This window comes from Homo sapiens, chromosome 2, assembly GCF_000001405.40.
Source record: "Homo sapiens chromosome 2, GRCh38.p14 Primary Assembly".
NCBI lineage: Eukaryota > Metazoa > Chordata > Mammalia > Primates > Hominidae > Homo > Homo sapiens.
The window spans coordinates 86,983,235-87,000,475 of NC_000002.12; the positions used below are offsets into that span (position 1 = coordinate 86,983,235).

At 38.1% G+C, this 17,241-nt stretch overlaps 1 protein-coding gene across 10 annotated transcripts in view; it reads left to right on the forward strand.

Annotated features, from left to right (window-relative positions):
• The window catches only part of RGPD1 (RANBP2 like and GRIP domain containing 1), a 100,318-nt gene that overhangs the window by 69,576 nt on the left and 13,501 nt on the right, over positions 1–17,241 (forward strand). For 4 of the 10 annotated variants that reach the window (NM_001410915.1, XM_011532845.4, NM_001024457.4 and 1 more), the window contains 4 exons: positions 1,520–1,614; positions 2,342–4,565; positions 11,607–11,746; positions 14,329–14,524. In NM_001410915.1, the coding sequence (NP_001397844.1) occupies positions 1,520–1,614; positions 2,342–4,565; positions 11,607–11,746; positions 14,329–14,524 (2,655 nt within the window). Of the gene's footprint in view, positions 1–1,519; positions 1,615–2,341; positions 4,566–5,452; positions 7,544–7,910; positions 8,781–10,259; positions 10,460–11,606; positions 11,747–12,428; positions 12,535–14,328; positions 14,525–17,241 lie in introns of those variants that run through there. The other 6 variants (XR_007074605.1, XR_007074622.1, XM_011532852.4 and 3 more) reach the window with 6 other exon arrangements.

Sequence of the window (17,241 nt, forward strand, 5' to 3'; positions counted from 1 at the left end):
GACTTACTAGTTTATAAAATCCTTTGCCAATTTGTAGGAACAAAAGTTATATCAATTTTTAAGTTTTTTTAATACTAGTCATGCTCAACAATTCATGCAAATGGCAGTTGGTAGTTTTGCCATCTTCAACGTGGGTACCTTCCAGTTGTTTGGTTTCTTGGTAAAACTCACACAAAACAGATGGAGAAGAGTTTTTGTATATCAACATGAATGTTAATGTGATTTTTTTAAAGCCAACGAACACATTTGTGTTCCTTGTGAGATCCTGTGCATGAATTTGTCAGGTAATTTTTTTGACTTGAACATTCTCATAATAGCTTCAATTTGCACAATGCAACCTTGTCATTTTGCAGATTTTCAAGGCTCACTTCAAAAACATGTTCCTTGAGGCCTATTAACATTTCTTTCCTAAATTGTCTATTCATATGGTGCTTTAAAAAATTAGATTACTTTTAGTATATTTATTAGAGCCTCACAGTTTAGAGTCAGTAGTCAATTAAAGTCCCTACTTAAACTTCAGACTAAGATTTTTTTTTTATTTAATATTTTATTTTTTCTTTTTGCTTTCATGCAGACAGACATTTTGCAAGACTTTAAGATTCTTGGGCCATTTCTGTCAGGTTGTTCTGTGTTCTGTGCCTGCTTCCTCCCCATAGTAATTTCAAAATAGTTATCCTCACCTCTGTAAGGTTTCCAAAATCAAACTTGGGCTTCTGGCTAGCCTTTTCTAGGTCTTGATTTTTCAGTGCTTTCCAGAGGCAATTGTTTGGAACCTCTTCGCACAGTTTCTGTTTCTTCTTCCATGTACAGGCATAAAAGGTCTTTTGGTTGTTTTCTGGTAAAACTATCATAAAACAGTTCAAGCAAATGACTATTGGTAGTTTTGTCATTAACATGGGTGCCTTCTAGTCGTTTTGTTTCCTGGTAAAACAGACCAAACAGAGGGAGCAGACAGTTTGTACATCTGTATGAGTGTTGATGTGCTTTTTATTTTAAGCCAGGGAACACATTTTATGTTATTTATGACATCCTTTCCATGAATTTGTCAGGTGATTTTTGAGCTGAACATTCTCAGTAATAGCTTTAGTTTACAAAATACAACCTAGTCTTTCTGCAGATTTTCTAGGCCCACTTCAAATGCATTGACCATCAGATGGCATCTTGGTTCCTTACGTCCTTTCTGTGACTGAATGTCCATAATTCCACATCATACTGATCTTTCTTAGAAAAGGCAACAGTTACTTTCTCCTTTATTCCTTTTTTAATGCTTGTGAGGTAGTTCTTGTTGATCACAGCGATGCTATTCTCTTATTCTTCATGTCATATTTAGCAATTTTTTTCTAGTTTGTCATTTGATAATCTTGATTGGTATATTTTGATGTACAGAAATTTAAAATTTATGTAGTTAAATCTTTCTTTAATTTCTATTGCTTTTGTATTTATAGCTCTTGCCTAGATAGTCTTAACTGTAGTATAGACTTTAACAGTGTTTTCTTTCTTTTCTTTTTTTTTTTTTTAGTTGCAACTACTGGCCCTTCAGTATATTATAGTCAGTCACCAGCATATAATTCCCAGTATCTTCTCAGACCAGCAGCTAATGTTACTCCCACAAAGGTAACAAAGGAATAATTTATACATTTATAATTATTTTCTTTTTAAATTGTTTAGGGTTCCTTCAAATAAATTCAAGAGAGCAGTTCACTATTAAAACTTTTATGTCCCTTAAAATGTAGATATTTTAAATTTATCTCCAAATACAGAAATTATCCTTCTTAGTCACCTTATTTTTGTGTTAATAAGTGTGAATATTTAGAATATTTTAAAAATGGGAGTGGTGGTGGTGGATCCTTCATCGTTCTGTTTTAACAGAAATAGAACTGTAATGCCCTTGCTGACCCACTATGTGGTAAGTACTTTCAGGCCTGATACAGCTATATATATAACAATTGATTGAAGACTCAATATTACAGTGGTAGTTGAATGTGACAGCTTTGAGGACAGAGTGTTGGGGTGCATTTAGACCCTTGTTCTTCTGCTTATTTTGACCACAGGCAAGTTTCTTAACCTCTCAATGCATCAGTTGCCTCATATGTGAAATGAGGGTAATAATAATACCTTAATTCATAGGGTTTTTGAGGATATTAAAATGAGATAATAATGTAAAGTGCTTAGAACAGTGCCCAGCTGACACATTAATAAATGCTCAATAAATGTTATCATCATCATCATCATCATTATTGTTAACATCATTTGATAAATTGTTTAGGAATGAAGAAGGTATTTATTTCATGACTATTTTGGGCATGTGGATCAAGAAAATTCACCTTCATTTATGTTTCAGGGTTCTTCTAATACAGAATTTAAGTCAACCAAAGAAGGATTTTCCATCGCTGTGTCTGCTGATGGATTTAAATTTGGCATTTCGGAACCAGGAAATCAAGAAAAGAAAAGTGAAAAGCCTCTTGAAAATGATACTGGCTTCCAGGCTCAGGATATTAGTGGCCAGAAGAATGGCCGTGGTGTGATTTTTGGCCAAACAAGTAGCACTTTTACATTTGCAGATGTTGCAAAATCAACTTCAGGAGAAGGATTTCAGTTTGGCAAAAAAGACCCCAATTTCAAGGGATTTTCAGGTGCTGGAGAAAAATTATTCTCATCACAATGCGGTAAAATGGCCAATAAAGCAAACACTTCCGGTGACTTTGAGAAAGATGATGATGCCTGTAAGACTGAGGACAGCGATGACATCCATTTTGAACCAGTAGTTCAAATGCCTGAAAAAGTAGAACTTGTAACAGGAGAAGAAGGTGAAAAAGTTCTGTATTCACAGGGGGTAAAACTATTTAGATTTGATGCTGAGATAAGTCAGTGGAAAGAAAGGGGCTTGGGGAACTTAAAAATTCTCAAAAATGAGGTCAATGGCAAACCAAGAATGCTGATGCGAAGAGACCAAGTACTAAAAGTGTGTGCTAATCATTGGATAACAACTACAATGAACCTGAAGCCCCTCTCTGGATCAGATAGAGCATGGATGTGGTTAGCCAGTGATTTCTCTGATGGTGATGCCAAACTAGAGCGGTTGGCAGCACAATTTAAAACACCAGAGCTGGCTGAAGAATTCAAGCAGAAATTTGAGGAATGCCAGCGGCTTCTGTTAGACATACCACTTCAAACTCCCCATAAACTTGTAGATACTGGCAGAGCTGCCAAGCTAATACAGAGAGCTGAAGAAATGAAGAGTGGACTGAAAGATTTCAAAACGTTTTTGACAAATGATCAAACAAAAGTCACTGAGGAAGAAAATAAGGGTTCAGGTACAGGTGCAGCCGGTGCCTCAGACACAACAATAAAACCCAATCCTGAAAACACTGGGCCCACATTAGAATGGGATAACTATGATTTAAGGGAAGATGCTTTGGATGATAATGTTAGTAGTAGCTCAGTACATGATTCTCCGTTGGCAAGTAGCCCTGTGAGAAAAAATATTTTCCGCTTTGATGAGTCAACAACAGGATTTAACTTCAGTTTTAAATCTGCTTTGAGTCTATCTAAGTCTCCTGCCAAGTTGAATCAGAGTGGGACTTCAGTTGGCACTGATGAAGAATCTGATGTTACTCAAGAAGAAGAGAGAGATGGACAGTACTTTGAACCTGTTGTTCCTTTACCTGATCTAGTTGAAGTATCCAGTGGTGAGGAAAATGAACAAGTTGTTTTTAGTCACAGGGCAGAACTCTACAGATATGATAAAGATGTTGGTCAATGGAAAGAAAGGGGCATTGGTGATATAAAGATTTTACAGAATTATGATAATAAGCAAGTTCGTATAGTGATGAGAAGGGACCAAGTATTAAAACTTTGTGCCAATCACAGAATAACTCCAGACATGAGTTTGCAAAATATGAAAGGGACAGAAAGAGTATGGGTGTGGACTGCATGTGATTTTGCAGATGGAGAAAGAAAAGTAGAGCATTTAGCTGTTCGTTTTAAACTACAGGATGTTGCAGACTCATTTAAGAAAATTTTTGATGAAGCAAAAACAGCCCAGGAAAAAGATTCTTTGATAACACCTCATGTTTCTCGGTCAAGCACTCCCAGAGAGTCACCATGTGGCAAAATTGCTGTAGCTGTATTAGAAGAAACCACAAGAGAGAGGACAGATGTTATTCAGGGTGATGATGTAGCAGATGCAGCTTCAGAAGTTGAAGTGTCTAGCACATCTGAAACAACAACAAAAGCAGTGGTTTCTCCTCCAAAGTTTGTATTTGGTTCAGAGTCTGTTAAAAGAATTTTTAGTAGTGAAAAATCAAACCCATTTGCATTTGGCAACAGTTCTGCCACTGGGTCTTTGTTTGGATTTAGTTTTAATGCACCTTTGAAAAGTAACGATAGTGAAACTAGTTCAGTAGCCCAGAGTGGATCTGAAAGCAAAGTGGAACCTAAAAAATGTGAACTGTCAAAGAACTCTGATATCGAACAGTCTTCAGATAGCAAAGTCAAAAATCTCTCTGCTTCCTTTCCAATGGAAGAATCTTCAATCAACTACACATTTAAAACACCAGAAAAGGGTAGGTACTTTGTTGTTAAAGTTAAGCACAATTTTTCTTTCTTTTAATGTTTAGCTTGATGCAGACTCTTTGTGGGATACTAATGTTGGGATATAAACGATGCTTTGTGAACACCCCCAAAATATTTGAGCAATTTTTTTTCTCCCTTAATAAGTTCACGGTGAGGTTTCAAAGAGCAAGAGAACTTAGTTAAAGACATTTCAGTAACTGGAAGATACTTCTATCATGCTAGGGCAGAGCAAAAGAACTTGGTACAGTGTATGGACTCATGCTTGAATCATGCGCATTAACGTGAGTCTTTTTTTAAAGTGTTCATTTTCATTTGTTCTGTTTCTTTTGTCACTCAGAAAACATGATATTGAGGCTGGGCACGGTGGCTCACTCCTAGAATGCCAGCACTTTGGGAGGTTGAGGTGGGCAGATCACTTGAGCTCAGGAGTTCGAGACCAGCCTGGCCAACGTGGTGAAACCCTGTTTCTACTGAAAATACAAAAATGAGCCGGGCGTGGTGGTGCGTGCCTATAATTAGCAGCTACTCAGGAGGTTGAGGCAGGTGGATCGCTTGAGCACAGGAGATGGAGGTAGCAGTGAGCTGAAGTCATGCCACTGCACTCCAGCCTGACTGAGTGAGACTTTGTCTCCAAAAAAAAAAAAAAAAAACAAAAAAACAAAAAAAACCATGATATTGAGATGTTCTCATTTTATGTGTTGTATGTCAGTCTTGCTCATGTATTAAATGAGCAAAGAATGAAACTACAGGGATAAATGAATATGTAAGACAGTCAGATTGGTGGTATAAATTGAGGGATTCTGGCTTTTTATGTTTTAAAAGCATATTCATTTTGTTTCCTAAAATGTTAAAAAATGAAATATTCTTTATTTTCTAGGATTTAATTTTAGCCTTTTTAAATCTAATCCCATGGCCTTTTGGACTAGCACCCCTTCCTCACAGCCTGAGAGCAAAGGTATAGAACTAGCATTCTCAGTATGAGATAACAGCAGTTTTTAGCAGCTGGTAGCCCTTAGGAAAGTATTAATAACTGTGGCTGTATGAAATGAAGTACTTACCACTACAACATGAATGTTAAAGAATGCCAGTTTAAGCAAAGTACCTTTTGACTGGTGGCATGACACCCTTGTTGGTTTGTTTTTTAAAATGTACTGGGATGCTGATTTGTAATGTACTTCATTGCTCTGCTATTTCAGGTCTGCTCAGTGAAGACCTATGTTTTATCTAATGTTTATCTTTAGCCACTAACGTCTGCCAGTATTCACATGTAGTGGCAACGGCATGTATACAGTATGGAAGAGTGTCCCTGTAGGGCTGTTCTTTTGTGCATGGTTTAGAAAAATGTTGTATTTGAAAATGGACCCCATTTTTAACAGCCAGCATTCTACAGCTTGCATATTATATATGTTGCACAGATCATTTTTAGAAGTGTGGCTACTAGAGTGGAACAAGAAGTGGGATCTGTTGAAGGCCTTCAAGAACAGGTTAGGGAAGTGAAACCTCACCCTTAGTGACCAGTAACACATCTTAGCCATGCCAAACAAGTACAATGATAAAATAACAATCTCTGATTTTTTTTTGAGTATACCAGTTTTATTACCAGCTAAGGTAGCTCTTAATCTTTTATTTTAAAGATACGGTCTTTGAGAAATGTGAAAAGTGTTAACTTAAAAGTGGATGTATACTTGCGTACAGTTTCTGTGAGCTCTAGGTTAGGAATCCCTGACCTAAGAACGAATGTGCCTATACACTACTGTAGAACATAGAGCCTTATTCTGTTTTGAATCTGATAATGTCATTGTCCCAAGGGACCTTAGAAATGAAGACTTTAGACATGAGTAAACTGAGGCCAAGAGAGGCTATCTGATTTACCCAAGAGGTCTTTACTGAGTAATAGCAGAAGTGGAACAAGAATCTGTATCTTACGGTGTACTGTTATTTCTCCTAGCTAGGAAATGATACTAGGTTTTCGTTTATAATGAAGGAGAGGGACAAATTTAACATTGTAAAAGGAAGGGCACTGGTTCTGCAGAGCAGTGTCATCCAATAGAAATAAAATATAACCTGTGTATGTAATTTAAAATTGTCATTTGGTGCAATGGCTTGTGCCTATAATCCCAGTTACTTGGGAGGCTGAGGCAGAGGGATCACTTGAGCCCACAAGTTCCAGGCTTCAGTGAACTATGATCACATCACTGCACTCCAGCTCTGGGTGACAAAGCAAGACCGCATCTCAAATAAATACATAAATAAATAAATTTTCTAGTAGCCATATTAAAAAGAATAAAAAGAAACAGTTAAAAAGGGAAACAGATGAAAGTAACTTTATCGATAGATTTGATTTAACTCATTATGTCCAAAATATCATTTTAACTTCTAATTAATATAAAAATTAATGATATTTTACATTATTGTTTTTCACCAAGTCTTCAAAATCCAGTGTGTGTGTTTACACTTACTGTTAGCATGTCTTGATTTGGACTAGCCACCTTGTGAGGTTTTAATAGAATGTGGCTAGGCTACCATATTGGACACCATAGCTCTCAGAATGTTTCCCTGTCACCAGTTGGTATACATGGCATGCTTCATAACTGGCTTACTTTATTAAACTCCTTTAGCCAGAAGTTGTTCTTTACATTAATAGATCAGAACAGGTTGCATATAGAAGTTTTTTCTGTTTCTAATTTTTTGCCCTTTGCATTGATGGTGGCTGGGGATGGGTTGTTTTCAGCCATATGAATGGTCTTAGATTTTATAGTGTTAGCTACCCATAGAGTAACAGTTTTTATTTAATTTTATCTAGTATCATGCTTGAACACAGGCAAACTAGATGCAACTCTAGTCACCTTCCATTCTTGGCAATTGTTAACTTTCCTTACAGGAACTAATCACAGTTGGCTTTGGATTAGTTTCATATGTATACTAATACTTGCTTATGTTTTAAGATTTTTTTCAATTGCTGCAAATGCATGGATATTTTGGTAAACTATTGTATGCTAAGTATAGTTAGGCAACACTTTAAAATTTTTAACCTTTTTAAATTCTAGAAATTTGTAGTAATTCTTTTCAATGACTATTAAGTAAACACAAGATTTTTTTGTTTTCTTTCGTTTTAAATAGATTCTGTGTTCACTTAGGGTTTTTGGTAGAAAACTAAATCAGGATGCTAATTCTAATTCATGATTATCGTACATCTCTGCATCAAAGTATATGTGTTTTTTATCAGTATGCTGTTTTAACCTATAGATAGGTTCCATGGTTTTTATTTTCAGGTAGAGTATTAACGTCAATACTTAATACCTTATCTTTGTCAATTTTTTTGACTGGTGTTACAGCAAAAGAGAAGAAAAAACCTGAAGATTCTCCCTCAGATAGTCTCGGTCTCCTGACCTCGTGATCCACCCGCCTCGGCCTCCCAAAGTGCTGGGATTACAGGCATGAGCCACTGCGCCTGGCTGACACATGTCTTAATTCTGGTATTCACCAGATTTGTTTCGTGTTCTCCGTTGTTAGTCATCAAATTTGTCTACTTTTTAAATAGAAACATTAGCTAGAGCAAGGAACTTAGAAACACTCAAGCAGCACTGAATGTGTAGAATTGCATAACCAATATAGCTTCTTTGCTTTCATATTTACAATTAGTTGGAGTTTTAGTTCAGCCGTACCCAGTATCTTCCATTCTGCTTCCAGGAAGAAATGGAAAAATGTCAGCCATGATGATGCAGTATTTTAGTAGCAAGTTGATGGTGTTTTGGTTTCCCATGGGAAATATTGTCACTGGAGCATTAGCAGCTATCGGTCACTTATTAGGGTAAAAAAGCAACTTCAGAAGAATTTAACATATGCCAAAGAATCAACAAAGGAAGTAATCAGCCAGGGCAAAGGTCGCACAAGAGATTGTAATCTAGCAATCAGCAGTGGAATAAGCAGTCAGCTTACCAGAAACCCAGGAAAATGCTTTAGAAAGGGCAGTCAGGACTAAGGCAATTTAATGAAATGCAAAATAAATGAAATCTGAAGTTTAAAAATCTAGATTACAATTCTGGTTTCTAACTCAGTTATGAGACCTTGGGCAAAGTCATTAAATTTCTCTGAACTTCAGATTTTTGGGAGTCAATAAACCAATACATGTCAAAGGGCCCGATAAACTTTACAGTTTAGACCAGGCGTGGTGTCTCACCCCTGCAATCTCAGCACTTTGGGAGGCCAAGGCGGGTGGATCACATGAGGCCAGGAGTTTGAGACCAGTCTGAACAACATGGTGAAATCCCATCTCTATTAAAAGTACAAAAATTATCTGGGCGGGATGGCATGCACCTGGAAGTCCCAGCTACTTGTGGGGCTGAGGTGGGAGGATGGCTTGAGCCTGGGAGGCAGAGGTTGCTGTGAGCCAAGATCGTGCCACTGCACTCCAACCTGTGTGACAGAGTGAGACCCTGTTTCAGAAAAAATATAGTTTATCAGCAAACAGGAAAGTCTTGCTAGGCAACGTAATTGATTAGTTCTGTGCCCTGGATTCTGGGCTCTTAACTGTATGAGCACTGTAGGTGTGAGCAGCAACAATTAAGAAGCTGCAGAGGTAAAGGTATAAGGGCAGTGATTGAGGATGTCTACCAAGCAGATTTCGGCAAGTGTGTTTCAAGAAGTATGCCGCAATCTGAAATACCTAATCCTGAAAAATTGCTAGAATCTAGTCTTTTAATTTTGGCCAGTATTTAGCAGTAGTTTGGCCCTCTACTCTAAATTAATAAAAAATAAGTAGTACTATATTATGAGCTGTGTTATCTAACAGTTTATCTTAGCTAGTAGCAATTAATTTATAGCTGCTATTAAAATGACTAACGTAGTTAAAAGTTTGATGACTAAGTTTTTTTTTGTTTGTTTGTTTGTTTTTTTGAGCTGGAGTCTCGCTCTGTCGCCAGGCTGGAGTGCAGTGGCATGATCTTGGCTCACTGCAACCTCCGCCTCCTGGCTTCCAGCAATTCTCTGCCTCAGCCTCCCCAGCAGCTGGGATTACAGGCACCTGCCACCGTGCCTGGCTAATTTTTGTATTTTTAGTAGAGATAGGGTTTCACCATCTTGGCCAGGCTGGTCTTGAACTTGCTGACCTCGTGATCCACCCACCTTAGCCTCCCAAACTGCTAGGATTACAGATTTGAGCCACCACGCCTGGCCTTGATGACTAAATTTTAGGAAATGTTTTAGCAATTCTTCATACACCTTTCACTTATAGTTACTTAATTCCTCTACTCTTATCATTTGATATTTTCATTTTATTGTGTATCTCTGTAAGGCCGAATCAATAGATTTTGAACAATCTCACACTTAACCTTTAAAAAAAATCTAATAGGCCCAGTTTCCTCTCAGCAATCTTTGAAGAACCTTCGAGAAAGGAGAAACACAGACCTCCCGCTTCTAGACATGCACACTGTAACCCGGGAAGAGGGAGAAGGCATGGAGACAACTGATTACGGAGTCTGTGTCTTCCGCCAGCACATACACACAGTCTTTAGAGCAGCTGCTTAATTCTCCCGAAACTAAACTTGGTCTGTTACTCTGTCTAAATATGTTCTTCTTCTTTAATTTCACTGTCTTATTTAATTACTATTACACTAAGGTACATATGCTTTTTTGGGCTGCTCCAATAAAATTTCTTTCAATATTCCACTACCTGTTTGTATTAGGGTTCTCTAGAGGGACAGAGCTAATTGGATGGTTGGATGGATGGATGAGATGGATGGATGGATGCTTATTAAGTATTACCTTACACGATCACTAGGCCATCTGCAGACTGAGGAGCAACGAGAGCCAGTCCAAGTTCCAAAACTGAAGAACTAGGAGTCTGATGTTCAAGGGCAGGAAGCATCCAGCACAGGAGAAAGATGTAGGTTGGGAGGCTAGGCCAGTCTCGCCTTTTCAGGTTTTTCTGCCTGCTTTATATTCGCTGGCAGCTGATTAGATGGCACCTACCAGGTTAAGGGTGGGTCTGCCTTCCCCAGCCCACTGACTCAAATGTTAATCTCCTTTGGCAACACCCTCACAGACAACACTCAGGATTAATACTTTGCATCCTTTAATCCAATCAAGTTGACACCCAGTATTAACCATCACACTGTCCAAATGGAAAAATTATTAAACAAATCTTTTTTAAAATAAAATGCTAGCTCTTGCCCTAGGCTTGAACCATAAATAAGTGGTGGGAAGTTTATAGTCACAAATAGGTGGTGGGTATTAGAAAGCAGGATAAACTATCCTCTCACCCTTCCAAGAAACTGACAGTTTCAGTTTATTCCTCTTGATGAAGTAATGCTAAATTTTTGTAGTGATGTTTTGGTATATTTTATTACCTGTAATTAATATTACTGTTCAAAATTTAGGGGGAATCTGTCATCTTCCTGAAACTTCAGAATCACCTGGAGTAAGGGTCATTTGTATTCATGGTCACTGACCACATGGGGTAGAAACTGCAAGTCATGGTTCCTTCAGGCAAAGTTAATAGTGGTGACACGGAGGCATCATGATAGAGCAGCAGACTCCAGAAGCCAATTTGACTTTGTGATTTCTGAAAAAATTACCTGTCAACTGTGAGCCTGTTTCATTGTCTGTAAAGTTTGAATAATGATACCTACCCCGCCTGATAGAAGATTCTTATGAGGGAACATGATACGTGACCAGTAAATGTTAATGCTTTCCTTATACGTGAAATGACATAAAATCTTGGAATATTAATAGATGGGAAGAAGATGTGTAATAAAACTGTCTATAAACACAATTCTGACAAATTTCAGAACTGGGACTCATAGGGCTTGTATTCAGTTAGATTACATGCTTTACAACAGAGATACTGTTTTATTTGTGTCACCTACAACATATAATCTGTTGATTGAGGTATGTTGAATAGATGAATGGCAAAGAAAGCAGACCTATAAAATATCACATAGTAAGATATTTATATTTAGATTTTTCTTATTTAGAATCTTCATCTGTAATGTATGATTTTGAAAATTAATTCTTGGAACAACATGTTGCAGAGCCTCCATTATGGCATGCTGAATTTACCAAAGAAGAATTGGTTCAGAAGCTCAGTTCCACCACAAAAAGTGCAGATCAGTTAAACGGCCTGCTTCGGGAAACAGAGGCAACCAGTGCAGTCCTTATGGAGCAAATTAAGGTGAGATCAGAAACCTGGCCACTGTGAAAACCGCCAGTTTGGTTTTCTGGACCCTCCATACACATGCACCCAAGTTTAAAAATTCACATTGCAGATGCATCTATAACGTCTTGATCTTTATATTAGATTATTAGATTCCTGATGGTGAGAAATAAATATTGCCTTTTTTTTTTTTTTTTTTTTTTTTTTTTGAGACAGTCTTGCTCTGTCACCCAGGCTGGAGTGCAGTGGCACGATCTCGGCTCACTGCAAGCTCCACCTCCCAGGTTCACGCCATTCTCCTGCCTCAGCCTCCCGAGTAGCTGGGACTACAGGTGCCCGCCAACATGCCTGGCTAATTTCTTTGTATTTTTAGTAGAGACAGGGTTTACCATGTTAGCCAGGATGGTCTCGATCTCCTGACCTCGTGATCCACCTGCCTTGGCCTCCCAAAGTGTGGGTATTACAGGCAAGAGCCACCGCATCCAGCCAAAATACTTCTTTTACACCTATTACATAAAGATTATTTCTTAATTCCTACTTTTCCTAAGAAACCGTAATAGATTTAGAAACTAGAGAGATGTTCACAAATCATTGTTCACATATGCTTAAATAAAAAATGGGTGTGAGTCTTTGAATTCTAAAGATAACCAGTGAATTTAAATTATTCAACTGATATTTATAGTACTGAACTACTAAACAGTTTTCAGGTGGAGATGGCAAAGTGGCATGGGAAGTTTTTCCTGTTTAAAGTAGACACCAGAAACATCTAGGAATGTTGCAGAACAGTTGAGGATTACTCAAATGAGGTATTTCCACCCTGGCTCACTGATAAATCACCCCTCAGAATATAGTCATACTGCTTATTGAGGAGTTCTTATGACCCAGGCCCTGGGCTCTACATACATTATTTAATCTCATCACTGGTTGAGAGAAAAATTGAAGCTGGTAAATGGTGGAACAAAATTCAAACTCATAGCTGTCTGAAAAGTACATGCTTTTCCCCTGTACTTTGCTGTTCCTAGTAGATCTGTCCTGCCACTGTGCAAGGCCACTAGCTATCCTTGTCAGATTATTTTAAAGCCGAATTCAGTTATTTTCAGTAAATTGTATATATCATGACATTCCACCATTAAATACTTCAGTATGCATCTCTATAAAATAGCATTTTCCCACTAATAAAAACATTATCATAGCTAACAAATCACTAACTAGCCCAGTAAACCTAAATGACTTATTTAAATGTTATATTTTCTTTTTTTTTTTTTTTTGAGATAGTCTTGCTCTGTCACCAGGTTTGGAGTGCAGTGGTGCAATCTCAGCTCACTGCAATCTCCGCCTCCCAGGTTCAAGCGATTCCCCTGCCTCAGCCTCCCGAGTAGCTGGGACTGCAGGCACGCACCACCATGCCCGGCTAATTTTTTTTATTTTACTAGAGACACGGTTTCACCATGTTGGCCAGGACGGTCTGAATCTCCTGACCTCATGATCTGCCTGCCTCAGCCTCCCAAAGTGTTGGGATTACAGGCATGAGCCACCACGCCTGGCCAAATGTTATATTTTCATAAATTTATACTCTCTTCATGATTTCTTTGTCTTCTTTATTGTCACTTTTTTAAATGGTCCTAGGTTTGAGGACAAAGTTCGCTAACTTTCTTGCCTAACCTAAAATGAAAATATACTAAAAGCTATGGCTTGGTTTCAACCTGGAAATCTTCCTCAAAGACTTGAACATGATACTACCTTTTTTATATCGTTCTTTGCCTCATTTCTCTGATAGTGTTTTACATTGTCTTATATTCCTGAATTTTCACTGTGTCTGAACTTTTTAAGTGCCGTTCACTGTGGACGTCTTAACTGCCTGGGACTTCAGGAACAGCGTAGGGGCAGGGGGTTAGTGGAGGCTACCGATGTTCCCCTCAGCCCATTTTCAGAGCCCCATGCCATACTGGCTTAGTTTCTATCAAAAGTAGAAGGCAGAGGGAACATCTTGGTACCAACCCATGGCTCCAGTTAGTTGCTCCTCATGGAGACGTTCCATCAGTTCCCCAGCTTTCAACTCCATTTCCATGATACCCTGTGCTTCTGAGACAAGAACTCCAGTATTTACACAGGATGCATCCTCTCCTCTTGTCAGTGATACTTGGTAAGCTGCTGGACTGACTCATTTCCACCTCTTCATCTGTTTCTCGTGAGAATGTCTTGACGTTATCTCATCTACTTTTTCTCCTCTTGTATTAGCTTGTTGCTTTTCTACTTCACCCCTCTTCCTTCCAACCCCAAATAGCTTAGGACAATGGAGTCATATAGCCCAACACTTGGTTCATATGCAGCAATCCACTTTCTAGGCAAATGCAGCTTTGAAACTATCTCATAGTTGGAGTTCCGGTTTTCATGTCAAATGGATTTTATACGGTGATGTCATAAACTCCTTTGAAATGCTTCACATGCAGCTGCTGTAGTTAACTGAATTCCTTCCTTTATTGCCATATGGAGGGAAGGGGGAAATTTGGGGGGAAGAGAAGAAAAATACATGAGTTCAGTCTGCCATATTTAATCAGAAGCTCCTAAAGCCCATTTTTAACTCATTTCTCTAACACCAGCTTCTCAAAAGTGAAATAAGAAGATTGGAAAGGAATCAAGAGGAGTCTGCAGCTAACGTGGAACACTTGAAGAACGTCTTGCTGCAGTTCATTTTCTTGAAGCCAGGTAGTGAGAGAGAGAGCCTTCTTCCTGTTATAAATACGATGTTGCAGCTCAGCCCTGAAGAAAAGGGAAAACTTGCTGCGGTTGCTCAAGGTGGGTAAAAGGAGAGTCTCAGAACTTCTGACTTCTAACTTAAACTAAACAGCCTGGTGGTTGAGAAGTTGTCTGTATGTGTAACTTTTCAATTTTGCTCATTTGAATTGGGTCTGTCATATGAGTAGGCCGTGACTAGATTTGAAAAGCTGACTTTTTAACATCTTGAGGCAACTGTAGTACATTTATATAATTTTAACATTCAGCAAAATACAATAAGTGCTTAGCTTGATCTTCTAGCTCTTTGAAAATTGGATTTTTATCCTGGTGTTGAGTTCTGGTGTTCAGCTGAACGTGGTTTTGTTTTAAATTCTACTTTTTAAAAAACATTTATTAGCTTGTTCCTTTTCTACTTCACCCCTCTTCCTTCCTCCAACCCCAAATAGCCTAAGACAATGGAGTCATATAGCCCAACACTTGGTCTATATACAGCAGTCCACTTTCTAGGCAAATGCAGTTTTAAAACTGTGCCATAGGCCAGGCACTGGTGGTTCATGCCTATAATCCCACCACTTTGGGAGGCCGAGGCAGGCGGATCACAAGATCAAGATACTGAGACTATCCTGGCCAACATGGTGAAATCTCGTCTCTACTAAAAATACAAAAATTAGCTGGACGTGGTGGCATGTGCCTGTAGTCCCAGCTACTCAGGAGGCTGAGGCAGGAGAGTCGCTTGAACTCACGAGGTGGAGGTTGCAGTGATCTGTCACGCCACTGTACTCCAGCCTGACGGCAGAGCGAGACTCCCATCTCAAAAAAAAAAAAAAAAAAAAAAAAAAAAAAAAAAAAAAAAAAAAAAAAAAAAACTATGATGTAGTTAGAGTTGGTTTCCATGTCAGATGGATTTAATACTGTGATGTCATTAACTTCTTTGAAATGCTTCATATACAACTGCTATAGTTAACTGAATTCAAGCTGCATCTTAAGAATTATGGTTTCATTTTTGTTTTAGTTTTAAATTACTTTTATTTTTGACATTTACAAGCACAAGGAAGACGCTATAATCTCTCTTGAGTTGTCACCCATCTCTAACGGTTTTCAACTCATGGACAATCTTTTGGCGTAAATAGGGGAGAGTTAGAGACTTAAATCCCACACATCATTTCTTTCCCCAGTGAATAATTCAATGTTTATTGGATTTCTCTGTCACCTATACCTAGTTTATGTTCATTTTGCCTGTGTTATTGTGAATGTCTTTTTATAGTATCCTAAATAGGGCTCATATATTGCATTTGGTTGATGTTCCTTAAGCTTTATTTTGTTGTTGTGTTTTTGTTTGTTTGAGACGTAGTGTTGCTCTGTCACCCTGGCTGGAGTGCAGTGGTCCGATCATGGCTCACTGCAACCTCCGCCTCCCGGATTCAAGCGATTCTCCTGCGTCAGCCTCCCAAGTAGCTGGGACTACAGATGCACGCCAGCTAATTTTTCTATTTTTAGTAGAGACGAGGTTTCACCATGTTGGCCAGGATGGTCTCAATCTCCTGACCTTGTCATCTGCCCGCCTTGGCCTCCCAAAGTGCTGGGATTACAGGTGTGAGCCACCACGCCCGGCCATTTTGTTTTTTTTATCTATAACAATTACATATATAAATATATTTTTAATGTGCCACTTATTAATTGAAGAAAGTGGTCATTTATGCTATAGCAGTCCTATATTTGGTTTTTAATCATTACAGGGTAACACTGAGCTTGTTCTAATTGCCTATAAATAGGAAGATCCAGGTGCAATTGGGTGGGATGGTGGACAAAAATACACCATAGATGGTATTGTGTGCTTTCTAAGACATCAGGAGGCCCAGAATGTCCAGACATCTTACTTTTGACTGATTGACCTTATCTAGTTGGTGCTCTTTAACATGTTCCCCATCCCCTGTAAATCCTAATAACTAAACTGATAAGAGTCATCCTCAAAATTGAGCAGGCATCTGAATCATCTGGTATACTTACTAAAATTCCAATTGCTGGTCCCCAATTTCTGACCCAAGATTCTGCATTTTTAGCAATTCGTTGCTGATACTTCTGGTCTGGGGCCCATACCTTGAGAATCCCTGGTCTAGAGGCCTGATAAGATTCAGGCTTAATTTTTTTTACAGACATACTTCATAAGTAGTATTGATAGTTTCTTTGAATCTGGTTTTTAATAATCTTTCTAATGATGAAGGAGGAATGTTCTCAATACTGACAGTAATCTCAGTTCTTCAAACTATAGGATAGGTTTCTATAGCCACAATAGTATTTTTGTCACAAGGGCCCAAATAAGAATACATCATGTATATTTTTAGTAGTTATTCAAATTACAGGTTCACTGTCTTTAATTTATTCTAACAAAAGTAAACCTAATTTTATAGTTATAAAAAAGAAGAAATCTACTTCTAGTCACCTAAGAGTAAAACTGCCCCTATAAAAAACAAGACAGAAATCTCAAAATTATAACTAATTTTATAGTTATAAAATTAACCAGGACTTTAAGAATGTTTGCATTTTAAAATTAAAGTTTTCAATACAACAATGATATTATCTCAAAATACTCAGCATGTCTAACAGGTCTCTTTTAAAAGCTCAGCATGTTTAATGTAGACGTTGCTAACGTCCAGGTGGCTCCTATAAGTTAAGGGTCCATTGATTTAGAAGTTCTAAAAGAGACTAACCTAAGGGATACCAAGAACAGATATTTTTAAAGAATTTCATAGAGGAGATACACATTAGAAACCCAGAAC